The 20,442-nt window shown below is 36.6% G+C and overlaps 1 long non-coding RNA gene across 2 annotated transcripts in view; it reads right to left on the reverse strand.

The window, feature by feature from the left end:
• LINC02296 (long intergenic non-protein coding RNA 2296) overlaps positions 1-20,442 on the reverse strand; it is a 268,818-nt gene that overhangs the window by 54,070 nt on the left and 194,306 nt on the right. Inside the window, exons 4-5 of one of the 2 annotated variants that reach the window (XR_007064293.1) lie at positions 7,665-7,772; positions 3,250-4,938 (exon numbers count right to left, since the gene is read on the reverse strand). This is a non-coding gene — a long non-coding RNA (long intergenic non-protein coding RNA 2296). Of the gene's footprint in view, positions 1-3,249; positions 4,939-7,664; positions 7,773-20,442 lie in introns of those variants that run through there. The other variant, XR_007064294.1, reaches the window with a different exon arrangement.

Below are 20,442 nucleotides of genomic sequence, written 5' to 3' on the forward strand. Positions count from 1 at the left end.
AAATATGTCAAAATGTTGCAAATTTGACTCATTTTGATTAGTTTTTTATAGTTTATCATTCCTTTACTGCCAAATATTTTATTAATGCAAATTAGAATTTTTTCTCTATGTTAAAATGACAAATGGTCTGGAAGTATTTAGTAATCTCTAAGAGATAGTAAAAGATTAGTGTTTACATTCTGTATCGCCCACGCAGATAGCAAATTCTCTATCTCACTAGATTGCTGTGAGATGTGCTATGTGCAGAATTTTATGTCCACGATTTAAAAGATGAAAAAAAGAGAAGGACATAATTTCTTCACTTCTGAAAGAGCTAAGTTTCCTTCTAATTGTTTTACATTCTAAGTTTATTTCAAATATTGCAGTGTTACTTTGATGAGTTGGTAATCTAGCTAATAGTCTCCAGACCTATGCCTCTATCTTCATCAAGAGACCAAATACCTTTTGATAAATCTTTTGATTTTGCCTTATCAAGATCAAACTCCATATTTATGAAATGTGTATGTGTGTTAAGTATCTTTTACATGTAAAACTATATTTCAGTAGGTACTCAAAAAAATTCTTCTTTTACATTATATCAAGAGAGATGTTAGAACTAACTTGGTTTGCTTAATTAATATGTCCCCTGTTTCTTAGCTGTTCCAACAAGTATAGGAGCTGCATGCTAAGAGTTTATCAAATCAAAGGAAAAGCTCAGCCTACTCCAAACTAATTCTGTGTAGGTAAAATACAGCAAGTACAAATATTTTAGAGATTATAAATGTCATAGATTTGTCATGCCCTTGCTGGCCTTGGCATGTTTTTACCCTCAGAGGAAACATTGATCTGAATCTTATAACCCAGTAGAGAATTTCGCTCTCCTCTGTTCTCATATTGTTGATTACCATAATAAACTAACCACATCCATTTGGGCTTGATGATTGAAGGTTTTGTTATAAGCCACAGGCTAGAAATCAAGCTTTTAACAAAGAAGAATAGTCTACATGCTTCAGTTAAAAGAACTCTATAAGGTGCTTTTGACTATTGATATTTTGACAAATAATCTCATGGGAACAGTCTTTCAAGCTTGAGCTAGAATCATTTAGGTAACTCTGAGATAGTCCAAAGGGATGGAGTCAAGATTTCCAGGACCCATTTTCATTCAGAAGCAGACGACCTCATGGAAGCTTACTGCTAACCTCAAACCCAAAAGATCAAAATTTAACTTACATAGTCAAGAATGGAATGGATGAGAGAAATCTAATTGTGCTTATTTTTTTTTAGAATGTTCACGGTATTAGCTCTGTGTTCAACTGTCATATTTAAAAGAAAAAGTTGTTTCTTCTCACTCGAATATCTCTCTAATCCTTATTTTGTGAATGGTATCTTATTCACTCAGACCGTGAATTTATATATTTATATATATGTTTTAAATTTATTCATAAATACATATTATTTATATATTCATATATATTAATTTATATACATATTACATATATATGTAAATTCATATGTATGTATTCCGAGTCTGTGTATTTTCTTGGAAATGTACTTATTTGCAAGAATTTGATCTCCTTTTAACCAGGATATAATTGGACAAATTGATGCTGCAATTGAGGCTATACTTGAAGTAACATATTGGAGAATAAATCTCATGGTAATTAGATATGACAAACACATCATTAAGGAATATGGATTGTATTTCATATGTGGAACTGATGCTCACAAAACCTTCCCCAGAAACTGGAACAATATCTACTCTGTCTTAAAAGGTCTCAGCTTTTATGGACAAGCCGAACCTAATCTGATTTGGCAAACTCTGAGGAGAAAGGAATTCTCTCAAATTTATAGGAAATGCAGGTGCAACCCATAGATATGAATGTTTCAGGTTTGCATTTGGTTTCCCAACCTTGGAATAGAAAATCCAATAGAAGCAATATTTTTTAAAAATCCTCAAGGACAATAGATGTTATTGAAAATGCAATCTGAGATTCCTTATGAATTTTCCAGTCCAACTTAATTCTCTGGACTCTGTTCTTGCTCCACCCTGTGAGCCTCTGGATTTGCTGACCATTAGCAAGGAGGTTAATATGGTTAGTTAACACCTCTTGCTGCACATCTATAACTTAATTCATCAAAACCAGAATAAGAGCAGCATTTTTTGTCAATAAAAATAAACTTTCAAGGTTATTTATGATCCCTGGAAGAACTATTTAAGAAACTTATGCCCAACTTGAAAAAAAGGCAAAAGAATGACAACATGTTCTTTTAGTGTCAAATTTTAACACTGGCACTTCCAAGCAATGCTTAATTCTCTAGGGGACTTACCTTTATCTAGTTTGCTTTTCACCATTGATTAGAGCCTAGAGTCCAGGAGGTTACATGTTAACTCATAGTTTTCTTCCTACAGAGATACAAGTAATATCTGTGCTATAGAGAAGAAAACTCCAAACACTAAACACTATAAGACTTAACCAGTTTTGTCCTTAACTTAGTCAACTATTTCAGTATGCTTTACCTGAGCGTGTTTATAAACCTTTGGTCCTCAAAAGCTTATTGGATCCGCCATTCTTCCGGTTCTATCATTAATGAGTTAGATTTTGATATATGTTCATTCTATATGGATTTCATGAGAATAATTTTTTATGAGAACCATTCTATGTATATGTGGGCCATGCTTTTTTACTTTATAATACTTTGATATCATCTGCCAATTGTTACTGGAGAAAAAAAAAAAAGCTTAAGTAAGCCTCATTTCTCAGAATAATTCATCTAAACTTCTTATCTCTTGAAGATATATACAAGCTTTTTGGTTCTAGATTATCTTAAAAAATTTAGTAGCACTACAAATAACTCCTTTAAGATGATTTAAAAACATAGTTTATCTCCAATGTCCTGATTATGTCCTTTAATTCACTAAAATATTCACATACTTCTTTATTCTGTGTAAAAATGGAATAGGAATAGGATAAAGAAATGAGTGCAAAACATTGTCTTAGATGTTATATCAATGTAATTATTACAAGAGAGCTGATTCAAGAGTTTTTAATGGGTACTGGGATTTATTCAATAAAGTTTATTACTCAGTCCAAAACTCTTACAAAGATAAAATGTCAAGTTTCCATCTCCCCTAGAAGGAGTGATGATGACTTCAATGGCCTAAGTGAGATAAATCTTTCATTTAGCTTACGTTTTGGGGACTTTCCTGACCCACAATTTATTTTCCCTCGTGTCCAACTCACACATTTATAAGAAAGGAACTCAGGTTGATGTATGTCAGAAGGACTATTTTAATCCAGTTCAGATTTGAAAGAAAGCATTTTCTAACAACAAGCAAAGAAAGAACAAAGCACAAGTCCATTTTATTCCACTACTATTCAGCAAAAACAACAGGAGGCATCATGGAGCGGACTGGCTTGGCTAGCATACATTTGGCTTCATAATGGTTTCTGAACGTATTCATGAATAAATATGATTGAAAGAAAACCTTGCTTGACCTAGAACCAGATGTTAATACTTGATATAGACTCAGCGATGGATCTAAAATTTTTATATATTTACCTTTATATTTCTAGTTTCAAGTAACTCTCATATCAACTCCTTTAATCATACATTTGAAAAGAATAAAAGCAACAGTAGATAAAGAAGGACTCCAGGGAGAGTAGACTATGTGTGATAGTTGGGCAACGGATTCCTGCAGACACTAAATCAGACATCCCAGATTTAGTAAAGTGGCCTTCGTGAATTGGCAATCATCTGTCTCATCACAGCAGAATCCTGACCAAAGAGAGGTCATGGCTAACCTCTAGACATGCTGGAATTTCTTACAGTTGAGGAAATAAGGCACACTCGCATTGTTGCCTGCAGCTGGTCCTTTCCTAACCACTTACCCAGAGCTTCAAATACGAATTCTTTCAGGGGCCATACGACATAAACATGTAGAACACTCAGCTACAAGGCAAAAGGAAGGTGACTGCATGTCAAGCCTGCAGGTTTTATATTCAAACATAAAATCATTAACCAGCGGCAGGTTAAATTTGGCTCTCATCCACCCCTTCCTGAGGCCTGACCTTGGATTGAAGAGCTTAATTTTCTGATTAGTAAAGTACGAGTAAGAACTAAGTTACCAAGCAGGTCAATAAGACATCCCTAATTAATCAATGCATAATTGAGCATTTATTGCAAAATGGAGACCATACAACAATGCAGAAAATAATTAACATTTGTCTCAAGCTTAATAGGTTATAGAACGTTGTGTGCATTATCACATTTAATGTAATACAATAGCGTTATTTTACTTTACTGCTGTTGTACTGTTTTTCACTATTTCTACTAATACTGGAACTTCTGCTACTACTAATCCATTGCTATGATTATGACTATAACCACAGAAAGTGCCCTATTTTCATACCACGTTAAAATCCCTAAATATGTCAGACAATGGAAATGACAGTTATACGAAGGAAATAAATTTATTCAAGATGCACATATACGATGGACCTGCAACATGATGCACTTTGTTGATGTAATCATTGAAGCTATTTATCCACCACTTATATATAGTTATTAATTCTGTCATTTTACTTCAAATTAGACTCACATCTGCACACTTTGTGTGTCCAATTGAGACTAAATGTCACCCTTTCAGCCTACCTACTTCTCTTCCTTGTGTCTAGTTCCATTAGGTTTGAGACTGAGTCTTATTTTCATGTTATCATTTTCTTATTTCAAAACATATCGTTAAATGCCAAACAAAAAATTCACATAATTTTACAAACCCTACTGTCTTAGTCAGCTTGGGTTGCCATAACAAATACCATAGACCAGGTGGCTTAAACCACAGACATTTATTTCTCACAGTTCTGGAGGCTGGAATGTCCAAAAGCAAGGTGCCAGAAGATTCAGTGTCTGAAAAGGGCCCTCTTCCTGGTTTACAGATGATAGTCTTTTCAAGATGTCCTCACAAGAAGAAAGAAAGGTAAGATTTTTTGTATCTCATCTTATAAGGGCACACATTCTGTCTTGAAAGCTCCACTCTCATGATTAATCACCTCCCAAAGGCCCCACCTCCAAATACCATCATCTTGCAGATTAGGGATTTAACGTATGAATTTTTCAGGGGACACAAACATTCAGTCCACAGCACCTACTGTAAAAAAAAGATGGTGAAATGCCCCAATTGAAGACCTGAATCGCAGGCAGTGTCACTGGAGAATAGCTTCAAATATTTATTGGTCTTCTGGTGTAAGAAAGTCAGATATGTGTTTCAGAAAACGTGTTCAGAGGTCCCCATGTATTATGTACAAAGCGCAAATTATTTGAAAGTCAAATATATAAAAATCAGACATTATCTCATTTGAAGATAACGAAATAGGCTCAGAAAGGTGGGGTTGGTTTGTAATCACATCTGGACTGGGATTTCCTGGAGCATTTTTGTTTTAATGTGACAACTGATATTGAATTGTCGATTTTTAATTTTGTCAAAAAAGTACTATGATACACATATAGTCATATACGCATACATATATAATACATATATAACACATACATATATAATCATATAATCATACACACACATATACATATATAATATGGTAATCATGCACACATATACACATACATATATAATATGGATGATATGAACATTAAATCATTATTATATATTTATATAACAATATGTATTATATAACAATACATATTATATACATATATAATACAGCTCTGCCCCCACCCAAATCTCATGTTAAATTGTAATTCCCAATGTTGGAGGTGGGCCTGGTGGGAGGTGATTGGATTGTGGGGCTGGTTTCTAATGGTTTTTCACCATCCGCCTAGTGCATTCTAGTGATTAAATTCTCACAAGATCTGGTTGTTCAAACATCCTCCTTTGCTCTCTCTTCCTCTTGCTCCAGCCACGTAGGACATGCTGGCTCCACCCTCCCCTTCTGCCATGACTGTAAGTTTCCTGAGGCCTCCCGGAGCCATGCTTCCTGTATAGCTTTCACAACCATAAGCCAATTAAACCCTTTTTCTTTTAAGTTACCCAGTCTTGGTAGTTTTTTTATAGCAATGTTTATAGCAATGTCAGAACAGGCTAATACAATATACAAACAAAATTACTATCCTTTCATAAAAGAAAGGGTGTTTTAACTCCATAACCATAAGGAATGGTACTATTCAGAGAAAAATGTAACTTATAAACAAGAACACATTTGCAGTGAATTGAATTGGGTCTCAAAGATATATGTCCAAGTCTTAACACCCAGAATCTCAGAAGGGGACCTTATTTGACATAAGAGTCTTTACAGATATAATATAGGTAAGGATCTTGAGATGAGATCACTGTAGATTAGTGTGAGGGCCCTAAATCCAATGATAGGGTCCTAATAGGAAACAGAAATGGGAAGACACTGGGAAGAAGGCCACGAGAAGACAAGGCAGAGACCAGAGTAATGCAGCCACAAACCAGGGACTCCCGGAGCCACTAGCAGCTGGCAGAGGCAGGAAAGGATTGTCCTTTTGAGCCTTCAGGAGGAGTACCGCCCTGCCAGTTCCTTGATTTCGGACTTCTGGTCCCCAGAACTTTGAGAGAATAATTTTTCTGTTGTTTTAAGCCACCCAGTTTGTAGTAATTTGTTGCAGTAGCCCTGGGATAGTAATGCAATATTCAACTGCAAAACACACACACACGCACACACACACACATATTATCATTCCCCTTTTTCTAATTCTGTCATAGTCCTCTATCTTGTCTGGTGTTGATAGCTATTCTTATCTCTAGGTTTGTTGATTCTGAACCCTGTAACCTTCCATATTCCACATTTCAATACATAGTTCAGTAAAGGAGAAAAAAAAGGCTTAAAAGTTACACAGTTTTGTGGACATTTTTAAGCTAATTGCACGTGCATAAAGGTGAAAAATCCAAAAACCCTATCTTATGAAATGCTTGGGAGGACAGAAGCTGAGCATGCATTCATTGGTGAACCTCAGGTTGTGTGTGGGTGTGGGAGAAAGAACAGCTTTTCCTTGTTTTCAGAGATGATCTTTTTCAGTAACTGTTGTAAATAACTTTATGACAGTTTTAGAACCTTGTTAAGTTAAATGCATTGGTAAAACTTACAATGGAGTAAACTTACATTATGTAACTTCAAGCCTTGTAACAGGACACAGCTGTATCAGGAAGCAGCCATGAATTTGGTCCCGTTATGAGAGCTGAGGGACTATTCGACATAGATTGAGAGTAACAGAAGACATGGTTTGGAAGGGCAGTGAGCCGGGGTTAACAGAGGTGGTACTGCAACTGTGCAAGTCACTTCTAATTGGAAAAAGACAACTACTGGGAGGAATCTTGCTAGCATATATACTAATTTATTTTGAGCTTTCTCTCTCTCTTCCTTTTTCTATCTCCTCTCCTTTTCTCCATCTCTCTGTCCTTCAGATATCTTTTTGGTTACTTCTTCAGTTGAAAGATTTGGGAAGCTGTATTTCTGATGGTGTCACAAAGAAAGCCACTTAATATTTCTCCTCTGATGAATTTCTAAACAAATGGAATGGTTGTATAGTGTAGGAAAGGGTTTTAGCAAAATGTTGGCAGAGATTATAAGCCAATAAGGTATCAATTTTAAAATGAAATATTCAAGGTGGTTAGGAAAGTCCTAGATAAGACAGAAGGCTGTGGAGCTTACCTGTGCAGATTTGAATCTTGGTTCTGCTGTGTCCAGCTGTGTGACCTTTGGCATGTTACATAAATCTCTGAACCTCACCTGTAAAGTGAGCACGGTAATGGTAGCCACCTAGAAAGATGATATGAACATTAAATCAGTTACTACATGCTTACAATGGTGACAGGCATATGGCAAGTGCTAACTGAATGTTAATTAGTTCCCAAATCTGGACAGAGCCTTGGGATTTGTTTCAGCAGTGATTATTAATAGTTTGGATTGAGAAAACAAAGCTTCCAATTGAATGAGGAGTTTATATTTTTAAAATCAGGCATAATTCTGTATATTCTTTAATGTGGTTAACAAGATTCATTAACCCTTATGTTTGTTTTCTTTAAATGCTTATATTTGTACAAATAAACTTGCACAACAGAAAACATGGTATGTATCCTCTCCTTTTCTTCTCTTTCTTATTAAGTCACACAAATAGATATCTGATTTTCAGATCATGAAATACTACCAAAGCACTAGTGTGGACAGATATCTCAGAGAGAATAAATCACTTCTTCAGAACATTAAAGACCCCAGAACATGATGGAAGTATTTTAACAACAGATTTTGATTGCAGGTCAGGTGTGTGGCTAAAAGTCCATGTTAAATTGATAATCCTTCTCATGCCAAGCATCTGGAGCATTTCTGGCCATCACCTCAAGTGTCTGAAGCTGTTTTCCTCCCAGCTCTCTTGGTTTGAAGTTGGATTAAAGCCTGATTTGAGTGGCCTGCCAGCCTGATCCATGAAATACAGATGGCTTTCCCCATGCACAGTCATGCTGGGACATCGGGCACAAATTCAATCAATATTGAAAGATCCTCTTGGGCTATAGTCATCTTTGTCATGGTTCTATTAATTATTTTTACCAGAATGTCTCTTCTCTTGTGCTTTCAAAGACCCCATTTTAGCTTCCAACACACAGAAGGCTTTTTATGGAGCTGTGATCCTATCCTAGTTGGTGAATTTTTGTTACAATAAACATAGCTCTGGTTGGTGGATGGGAAATTCTCCAGGACTTTCTTATAAATGACCTCTGCTGTCACTTGATATCAAGTAGGCGTCCTGGGTGGCAGAGATAAAACCACATGTGAGTCAAAGTGGATGCTGAGAGGGTCCAAGTCTGACCTCACCAAAAAGTGCTGATTGAACAACACTGATTTGTAGTACTTTCAGTCTGACTTGGACCTTGTGCAACATTTACAAATTTTGCCAAAATCAGTTTAAACACATTCTTTTTCTAATTGGACCGTCTTAGGTTCTGACATGAAGCTTTTTGAAAAAATAAAAATATAGTATGTTTTCTAACCTGATAATATCACAGACTTGCTATCCCCAGGTGGACATTGCAGACTTGTTTTATTGGAAATGTTTATTTTGGGAATCACTGACGAATTGTCTGTAGGCTGTGCATATAACAGAAATTAGTGCTAGTTTTAAATTTTGAGGAACTTCCAGTGATTTCTCTGGAAATGCTGGTACATAATGCCACTTGTCATCAGACCTGTTAGTAGTCTAAGGCTGGGGTCAGTCAAAAAACTAGGGCTCTAGGCCAAATCCAAACTACCGCTTTTTTTTTTTCCTTATAAAGAAAGTTTTATAAAACACAGTTAATCCATTCATTGATGTATTGTCTATGGCTGATCTCATATTACAAGTATCGAGTTTAGTAACTGCTACAGAGACCTGTGGCCCACAGCCTAAAATATTCACTATCTGTCTGATCCTTTATAGAAAGAGTTGGTCAATTTCTGGCTATGGCACATTTTAAAATGGGGTACATAGGACTCTGCAAATTGTGCAAGCACCCTGTATGTATTCAGAAAATTGACTTCCAGATTCTTGAGAACTTTCCAAAAGGCCATCTTGAGAAAGCCTCAGAGGTCACATCAGCCCTCGGCCAGCTAGAATGGAAGGAAGGAGAGGAAGGAGGAGAGGGGAGAGAGGGAGGGAGAGAAGAGGTGGGAGGGAGGAAGGGAGTGCCAAAGATTCTTTGTTTCACCAAACTTTAGTCAGGCTCTCAAAACTTCTCTTACTTCCGCCTGTGTACTTTCTTGGACCCCTGCTGTCAGTTTAACAAAAACCCCTTATCCTCCATATCTGATCACCCTTGGATATTTAATCAGGTTCCTTATCCTCCACCATCCCCCAGGTGATGATGAATCATTCCAGCATCTCTTCATCAAATATCCTGCTAGGTCACTTTAGCCAGAATCCCCTCTATCCCAGATGTTTATTTTTAGTAAATTTTTCATCCACTTACCCTCACCCTTCTCTTTGGCAATAAATTCCCACTCGCCCATGCCGTATTCAGAGTTGAGCCCAGTACTATACTGAGATCTCATTTCCCTTATTGCAATGGTCCTGAATAAAATTTGACTTTCACTGCTTTAACTACTGTAGAGGTCTGGTTTTCTTTGACAGATGAGAGGAAGAGGGGGGAGAAGGAGAGTAAAGGGATGAAAGCTTCACCCTTCCCTGAAGGGAGCAAACAAGGTGAAAGCTTAATGACTAATCAATACTTCACAAAATGGCTTCCAGTATTTTCCTGCCTTGTAGTATTGCTGTTAGAGGCAAAAAACTTTTCAAACAGGCATTGAAACTTGGAATATAATGAATTGAGATGAATGTTTGGTAGAGTGAGATTGTGAGAGTAATGACGTTTATTTCCCAGATCTAATCCTTCTATCTAGCTACTCCTCACCACCACCACCACTACCAAATGCACTATCATGTATGAATGCATTTCTCTTTAGGGAAAGCCCCTTGAGAATAAAGTACAAACCATCATTAAGAAACATTGAACACTAAAATAATTTTATCTGCTTAATATTAATGTAGATTTACCTTGAAGCTACTAAGGCTTAAGCTTCAAGGACCCTCTATTGGAATGGGATTCTTCCAAGACCCTGAGAGGGGCACTAGCAGTGTGTTTACATCGTCATATGCATTTGTAAAAATTATAGAAGGAGCTAGTTGAACTGTAACCTCTTAAAATCACCATTCATTTCCATACTAACTCCTTCAGTCATGCATCTTGATATGTATATTGGCATTCATTGGCTGTGAGCATTTTCAGGATGCACCCAAGAAAAAGTTGAGCTGGAGTTACATTCAGTTTGTCATTGGGAATGTATTCATGTGGTTTGTAGTCACATTAGCATATTGTTAAATATTTAAACAGCTTGTCTGGTGGAGAGATTGCTTCTAGGAAAGCTTTTCCCATGCTCTATGCTGACTCACCTATCATCCTGTCTGCAATGTCAGGTCATGATGTTAAAGTTTCCCTAAAGAACCTGGAAATATGTGGGTAGTGAAGGAGGAATGAGGTTTGAACTATACAGTGCCAGAGTTAGTCTACTGAAAATTCTTCCAATCATCAGACTTGAGAAGTGATAAAACAAGCACTCAATTCTCATTCAAATATTCACATATGATCAACATATAAATTCTCTTAAGAAAACTCAGTATAAAAACAATCAAAAAATATTTTTTCTTTTTTGTTGGCAAGCTGGGAAATGAAATTGATCACGAAGCTCATACTTATTAAGCTCAACCATGAAATAGTACTAACATGAGCAAGTATGTCTATAAGTCAATTTATATGCCTTACACAGCCCAACTATTTGAAAAACAAAATGACCAACATAATGACTGATTTATCTATTTCCTCTATAGAGAAAATTATATTACAAAATTTTTATTATATGGCAAAGCCCTCAAGGAGTTTACAGAAAAAAAATTTAGAAAAAAAAACACTATAGAAGTGTAACATGCAGTCAGTTAATTAAGAAAAGTATCATGACACAAGTGGATTTTGTGATGTTTGTGATTTTATCAGCTTTTTAAAATTTGTAATGTTATAATTTTTTTCTCATTCTAAATACTCATGTTCACACATAATTATATTTTATTTTTGTTACATCATTTGTCTTTCAAACACCACCCACCAAAGTTTATAAAAACTTTAGGATCCACAAAGCTTGGATCTGCCTTAAACATAAGCAGTTTTTTACAACTACTTCAAGCCTCATCATTAGAACTTGTCACTAGCTGCAAAGACAAGCTCCTTCAAACAGCCAGAGCAGTGGAAGTTAATAAAGCTGAATCTTTAAATATAATCAGAATATTTTCTAGGACTGCAAAATAGTTCCAAATATTCTATATATAAAATCAGTGGGTAAAACATTATTTCATTCATACTTGCTATGCAGTACTAAAGATAAAAACTATTTTAGCAAAATGTATCATAAAATATTTGTTCCAAATACAGTCGATCTTTATTTTGTGTCATCTTATATACTGTTTAATAATATTTACCGTCTAGTAACAGAAAGTATAATTGTATGCAAATTTTCAGAACAATTAATTTCTAGTATCATATAACTTTCATTAAATGCATAGTAAAATATTTATCATGGTGTTCTTAAGACATATATATTCCTATTTTTAAATTTTGTTTATATTCAATCATTCCCAGGAGATAAACACAAAAGTTCAATAAATAAGCATGCAGAGTAACCAAAAATATACCTTTTTTAATACTTGTTGCTTCCCAAATAATCTCATTTATTTATGCATTATATTGCATTTTTATCATTTAAGTAATAAGTAACATAGTTTATTTTGATTTGTAACATAAAAAGAAGACTTAAATTTTATTAAATTTTTAGAATTTTATCTAAACCATTTTAAATACACCATTACATAAGACTTGTTAAATAATTTCTTTCTGTACTTTTAAACATAATCTTTCTCAAAAAACATTTTAATGTGCTTACTTGAAATATAAAATGAAGGAAGATTTTTCAGACAGAAAGTAAATAATTTTCTTACTAACTTCGCTATAAGCTAAGTTAAATAGCTTAGATATTTTCCATAAATAGAAAGAGCTAAATTCAAAGCCCAAGGTTTTGACAAAGTTATTTTCAAAGTTTCCACAATTGGGATTCTCCAGAAGCAGGTAAAATCTAGGATGCAAAATGTTTTACTTTTAATCAATAAAAGTGGAAAAGAGGTGGTGGAAACAAGACTGGGCCCGGGAAGAAGCTGAACTGTGATGAAAGTCCAACATTGCCTAAGGCCGTTTTGGAGCAAGAAGTGTCTGCCAAAGTTGAGAGGTCTTAACCCCCTTCCCTGGCTCAGGACCAGATGTGGGCTGCCCTGGGAAGGATGTGTCCTTCAGGCAGGTGGCTCGCTGCAGCTAAGGCAGATCCTGATGGGGCTGGGAGCTGGAGGGGCTGTGCTGATCACACTTCCCAAGGCTGGGCAGCAAGTCCTTCCTTAAAGAAATTGTGAATCTCTATGTCCATCACAAAAAGCACATGGCAAAATAAATGCATTTTATCAAATAGAAAACAAGTTTTTGCAAAGATGTTAGCAAAAATATGAACAATAAAATTCCATTTTCCCAATTGATTATGGGCACGTTTGATGAAACAAGGTACCTCTTGTGAAAGACACACAGAAATGATTAATAGTCATTTGGTAAATCTTAGGAAAGTCTTTTCGGTATAGAATAACAAATCCTTTTATAAGTCAGAAAGCTCCTAACTTTTTCTTTCAATGACAGAGAACCTAATTGAGTCAATAGCTCAATTAGGTTGAGTCAATCTCCAGAAATACTTATATAATAGAGCACTATTTGGCTATAGATTTATGATGTGAAAGAAGTTCAAAGATTTGAATGAAATTACTACAGCAAAACCTTTTTTCTTCCCTCTACTTACTTATGGGGACAAGATCACTAGTGATTTCATCTATAAAGATATCAAATAGGATTCCACATTATTTTTTGAAATCTATCAGTCAATCACATGCATCACTGAATACAGAAAATACATTCTTGAAAATTCTCATTTGTGTATGAAATCATACTTGGCCAACAGTTTTTTACTATTTAATCTATGGTGTTTGGATCAAATGTTTATTAATAACAATTGTAATGACCCCTAAGACAGAATACTTTTTTTTTTAACATGTAGTGCCTTGTGGTCAAAAGATTTTTAAAAGTACCTTCTAAAATATGAGCTATACATGTTTATTGGTCTAAGAAAACTTTTCCATAAAAGTACATAATTTGGAAAGAAAGTCCAAAGGAGATGGTAATGGAAATATGAATTTAAGTTGAAATCATTAAGGGTAAAATGAAGAAATGTTAAAAACAGAGTTTGTTCATTTATTTAAATACATTATTGTGGGTATATGGTAATTATGGTCAGGTTCCATTTGACATATTTTAAGAATTAATATAGCAACTTTATTTTAAAATATTAGAGATGACAGAAACCATGTAGTATTTGCACATTTAATATCATAATGAAAAATTGGAGAGGTCAACTCATATATATGAGAGAAGGTACGTCAATTTTCTAATTCCTTTAAGGGGTATTAGGAAGATCATCAATTGAGAGTCCTGGTTACATGGTGAGATGGATTCTTCACTATCTACTGTTGGCCTCATTAGCCCTTCTCTAGAGAAAAGGACCCTATGATGTCTGCGTCCATTAATTCCTAGTCTGGGAGGATCCACAATGACCAGAAAGATGGCATGACCACCCACCCCTTCACTTTAGGCTCTTTTGCTGAATCCTTACTCCCAGAGTCACAGTATGATGGATATAATCCTAAACCAGTCATGCATCAAATTCTGTTTAATTCACAGTAAAGAAAGAATTGTCTTCTACATAAATTTAAAACATGTATGAGATTCTGTCACTACCCTGTGTAAGTGCATTCAATGCTCTTTTTCTCTTTGAATTAAATCTGAAGCAGGCAAAATAATGGCTTCCCATAACCTAATCCCTGGAACCTGTGAATCTATGTCAGAGATCTTGCCGATTTGATTAAGTCATAAAGTTTAAAATAGGGAGATTATTCCGGGTTGTCTGAGTTGAACCAATCTAATCACAGGAGCCCTTAAAAGCAGAGACATTTTTTCAGCCAGAAGCAGAAAGAGATGCAGCAGGAGAACTCAGAGATTACAACTGTGAGTGGGATGTATGGGTCATGGCTGTTTCTGAGATATACGAACACAAGTACAAAGACCAGACAGAGGCCTCCAAGTATAAAGGGCTTCACCTAGCTAATAGCCACCAAGAAAAGGGGAGTTTGACCCTACAACTGAATGAAACTGAATTTTTTTTTTCATTTTCTTATTATTATACTTTAAGTTTTAGGGTACATGTGCACAACGTACAGGTTTGTTACATATGTATACATGTGACATGTTGGTGTGCTGCACCCATTAACTCGTCATTGAGCATTAGGTATACCTCCTAATGCTATACCTCCCCCCTACCCCCACCCCACAACAGTCCCAAGTGTGTGATGTACCACTTCTTGTGTCCATGTGTTCTCATTGTTCAATTCCTACCTATGAGTGAGAACATACGGTGTTTGGTTTTTTGTCCTTGCAATAGTTTGCTGAGAATGATGGTTTCCAGTTTCATCCATGTCCCTACAAACGACATGAACTCATCATTTTTTATGGCTGCATACTATTCCGTGGTGTATATGTGCCACATTTTCTTAATCCAGTCTATCGTTGTTGGACATATAGGTTGGTTCCAAGTCTTTGCTATTGTGAATAGTGCCACTATAAACATACATGTGCATGTGTCTTTATAGCAGCATGATTTATAATCTTTGGGTATATACCCAGTAATGGGATGGCTGGGTCAAATGGTATTTCTAGTTCTAGATCCCTGAGGAATCGCCACAATGACTTCCACAATGGTTGAACTAGTTTACAGTCCCACCAACAGTATAAAAGTGTTCCTATTTCTCCACATCCTCTCCAGCACCTGTTGTTTCCTGACTTTTTAATGATCACCATTCTAACTGGTGTGAGATGGTATCTCATTGTGGTTTTGATTTGCATTTCTCTGATGGCCAGTGATGATGAGCATTTTTTCATGTGTTTTTTGGAGGCATAAATGTCTTCTTTTGAGATGTGTCTGTTCATATCCTTTGCCCACTTTTTGATGGGGTTGTTTTTTTCTTGTAAATTTGTTTGAGTTCATTGTAGATTCTGGATATTAGCCCTTTGTCAGATGAGTAGGTTGCAAAAATTTTCTCCCATTCTGTAGGTTGCCTCTTCACTCTGATGGTAGTTTCTTTTGCTGTGCAGAAGCTCTTTAGTTTAATTAGATCCCATTTGTCAATTTTGGCTTTTGTTGCCATTGCTTTTGGTGTTTTAGACATGAAGTCCTTGCCCATGCCTATGTCCTGAATGGTAATGCCTAGGTTTTCTTCTAGGATTTTTATGGTTTTAGGTCTAACATTTAAGTCTTTAATCCATATTGAATTAATTTTTGTATAAGGTATAAGGAAGGGATCCAGTTTCAGCTTTCTACATATGGCTAGCCAGTTTTCCCAGCACCATTTATTAAATAGGGAATCCTTTCCCCATTTCTTGTTTTTGTCAGGCTTGTCAAAGATCAGATAGTTGTAGATATGCAGCATTATTTCTGAGGGCTCTGTTCTGTTCCATTGGTCTATATCTCTGCTTTGGTAGCAGTACCATGCTGTTTTGATTACTATAGCCTGGTAGCATAGTTTGAAGTCAGGTAGCGTGATGCCTCCAGCTTTGTTCTTTTGGCTTAGGATTGACTTGGCGATGCAGGCTCTTTTTTGGTCCCATATGAACTTTAAAGTAGTTTTTTCCAATTCTGTGAAGAAAGTCATTGGTATCTTGATGGGGATGGCATTTAATCTATAAATTACCTTGGGCAGTATGGCCATTTTCACGATATTGATTCTTCCTACCCATGGGCATGGAATGTTCTTCCATTTGTTTGTATCCTCTTTTATTTCCTTGAGCAGTGGTTTGTAGTTCTCCTTGAAGAGGTCCTTCACATCCCTTGTAAGTTGGATTCCTAGGTATTTTATTCTCTTTGAAGCAATTGTGAATGGGAGTTCACTCATGATTTGGCTCTCTGTCTGTTTTTGGTGTATAAAAATGCTTGTGATTTTTGTACATTGATTTTGTGTCCTGAGACTTTGCTGAAGTTGCTTATCAGCTTAAGGAGATTTTGGGCTGAGACAATGGGGTTTTCTAGATATACAATCATGTCATCTGCAAACAGGGACAATTTGACTTCCTCTTTTCCTAATTGAATACCCTTTATTTCCTTCTCCTGCCTAATTGCCCTGGCCAGAACTTCCAACACTATGTTGAATAGGAGTGGTGAGAGAGGGCATCCCTGTCTTGTGCCAGTTTTCAAAGGGAATGCTTCCAGTTTTTGCCCATTCAGTATGATATTGGCTGTGGGTTTGTCATAGATAGCTCTTATTATTTTGAGATACATCCCATCAATACCTAATTTATTGAGAGTTTTTAGCATGAAGGGTTGTTGAATTTTGTCAAAGGCCTTTTCTGCATCTATTGAGATAATCACGTGGTTTTTGTCTTTGGTTCTATTTATATGTCGGATTACATTTATTAATTTGCGTATGTTGAACCAGGCTTGCATCACAGGGATGAAGCCCACTTAATCATGGTGAATAAGCTTTTTGATGTGCTGCTGGATTCAGTTTGCCAGTATTTTATTGAGGAATTTTGCATCAATGTTCATCAAGGATATTGGTCTAAAATTCTCTTTTTTGGTTTTGTCTCTGCCAGGCTTTGGTATGAGGATGATGCTGGCCTCATAAAATGAGTTAGGGAGGATTCCCTCTTTTTCTATTGACTGGAATTGTTTCAGAAGGAATGGTACCAGCTCCTCCTTCTACCTCTGGTAGAATTCGGCTGTGAATCCATCTGGTCCTGGACTCTTTTTGGTTGGTAAGCTATTGATTATTGACTCAATTTCAGAGCCTGTTATTGGTCTATTCAGAGATTCAACTTCTTCCTGGTTTAGTCTTGGGAGGATGTATGTGTCAAGGAATTGATCCATTTCTTCTAGATTTTCTAGTTTATTTGTGTAGAGGTGTTTATAGTATTCTCTGATGGTAGTTTGAATTTCTGTGGTATTGGTGGTGATATCCCCTTTATCAATCATTTTTTATTGTGTCTATTTGATTCTTCTCTATTTTCTTCTTTATTAGTCTTGCTAGCAGTCTATCAATTTTGTTGATCTTTTCAAAAAACCAGCTCCTGGATTCGTTAATTTTTTGAAGGGTTTCTTGTGTCTCTATTTCCTTCAGTTCTGCTCTGACCTTAGTTATTTCTTGCCTTCTGCTAGCTGTTGAATGTGTTTGCTCTTGCTTTTCTAGTTTTCTAATTGTGATGTTAGGGTGTCAATTTTGGATATTTCCTGCCTTCTCTTGTGGGCATTTAGTGCTATAAATTTCCCTCTACACACTGCTTTGAATGTGTCCCAGAGATTCTGGTATGTTTTGTCTTTGTTCTCATTGGTTTCAAAGAACATCTTTATTTCTGCCTTCATTTCGTTATTTACCCAGTAGTCATTCAGGAGCAGGTTGTTCAGTTTCCATGTGGTTGAGCGGTTTTGAGTGAGTTTCTTAATCCTGAGTTCTAGTTTGATTGCACTGTGGTCTGAGAGACAGTTTATTATAATTTCTGCTCTTTTACATATGCTGAAGAGTGCTTTACTTCCAACTATGTGGTCAATTTTTGAGTAGGTGTGGTGTGGTGCTGAAAAGAATGTATATTCTGTTGATTTTGGGTGGAGAGTTCTGTAGATGTCTATTAGGTCCGCTTGGTGCAGAGCTGAGTTCAATTCCTGGGTATCCTTGTTAACTTTCTGTCTCGTTGATCTGTCTAATGTTGACAGTGGGGTGTTAAAGTCTCCCATTATTATTGTGTGGGAGTCTAAGTCTCTTTGTAGGTCACTCAGGACTTGCTTTATGAATCTGTAAATATGCACCTGTATTGGGTGCATATATATTTAGGATAGTTAGCTCTTCTTGCTGAATTGATCCCTTTACCATTATGTAATGGCCTTCTTTGTCTGTTTGGATCTTTGTTGGTTTAATGTCTGTTTCATCAGAGACTAGGATTGCAACCCCTGTCTTCTTTTTTGTTTTCCATTTGCTTGGTAGATCTTCCTCCATCACTATATTTTGAGCCTATGTGTGTCTCTGCACATGAGATGGGTTTCCTGAATACAGGACACTGATGGGTCTTGACTCTTTATCCAATTTGCCAGTCTGTGCCTTTCAATTGGAGCATTTAGCCCATTTACATTTAAAGTTAATATTGTTGTATATGAATTTGATACTGTCATTATGATGTTAGCTGGTTATTTTGCTTGTTAGTTGATGCAGTTTATTCCTAGCCTTGATGGTCTTTACAATTTGGCATGTTTTTGCAGTGGCTGGTACTGGTTGTTCCTTTCCAGGTTTAGTGCTTCCTTCAGGAGCTCTTCTAGGGCAGGCCTGGTGGTGACAAAATCTCTCAGCATTTGCTTGTCTGTAAAGTATTTTATCTCTCCTTCACTTATGAAGCTTAGTTTGGCTGGATATGAGATTCTGGGTTGAAAATTCTTTTCTTTAAGAATGTTGAACATTGGTCCTCACTCTCTTCTGGCTTGTAGAGTTTCTGTTGAGAGATCAGCTGTTAGTCTGATGGGCTTCCCTTTGTGGGTAACCCGACCTTTCTCTCTGGCTGCCCTTAACATTTTTTCCTTCATTTCAACTTTGGTGAATCTGACAATTATGTGTCTTGGAGTTGCTCTTCTCAAGGAGTATCTTTGTGGCATTCTCTGTATTTCCTGAATTTGAATGTTGGCCTGCCTTGCTAGATTGGGTAAGTTCTCCTGGATAATATCCTGCAGAGTGTTTTCCAACTTGGTTCCATTCTCCCCGTCACTTTCAGGTACACCAATGAGACGTAGATTTGGTCTTTTCACATAGTCCCATATTTCTTGGAGGCTTTGTTCGTTTCTTTTTATTCTTTTTTCTCTAAACTTCCCTTCTCGCTTCATTTCATTCATTTCGTCTTCCATCACTGATACCCTTTCTTCCAGTTGATTGCATCAGCTACTGAAGCTTCTGCATTCGTCAAGTAGCTCTCATGCCTTGGTTTTCAGCTCCATCAGGTCCTTTAAGGACTTCTCTGCATTGGTTATTCTAGTTATCCATTCATCTGATTTTTTTTCAAAGCCTTTAACTTCTTTGCCATTGGTTCAAATTTCCTCCTGTAGCTCAGAGTAGTTTGATCATCTGAAGCCTTCTCTCAACTCATCAAAGTCATTCCCCATCCAGCTTTGTTCAGTTGCTGGTGAGGAGCTGCGTTCCTTTGGAGGAGGAGAGGCACTCTGATTTTTAGAGTTTTCAGTTTTTCTGCTCTGTTTTTTTTCCCATCTTTGTGGTTTTATCTACTTTTGGTCTTTGATGATGGTGATGTACAGATGGGTTTTTGGTGTGGATGTCCTTTCTGTTTGTTAGTTTTCCTTCTAACAGTCAGGACCCTCAGCTGCAGGTCTGTTGGAGTTTACTTGAGGTCCACTCCAGACTCTGTTTGCCTGGGTATCAGCAGCAGTGGCTGCAGAACAGCAGATATTGGTGAACTGCAAATGCTGCTGCCTGATCCTTCCTCTGGAAGTTTTGTCTCAGAGGAGTACCCATCCGTGTGAGGTGTCAGTCCGCCCCTACTGGGAGGTTCCTCCCAGTTAGGCTACTCGGAGGTCAGGGACCCACTTGAGAAGGCAGTCTGCCTGTTCTCAGATCTCAAGCTGTGTGCTCGGAGAACCGCTGCTCCCTTCAAGGCTGTCAGAGAGGGACATCTAAGTCTGCAGAGGTTACTGCCGTCTTTTTGTTTGTCTGTGCCCTGCTCCCAGAGGTGGA

This window comes from Homo sapiens, chromosome 14 (genome assembly GCF_000001405.40).
Source record: "Homo sapiens chromosome 14, GRCh38.p14 Primary Assembly".
Lineage (NCBI taxonomy): Eukaryota > Metazoa > Chordata > Mammalia > Primates > Hominidae > Homo > Homo sapiens.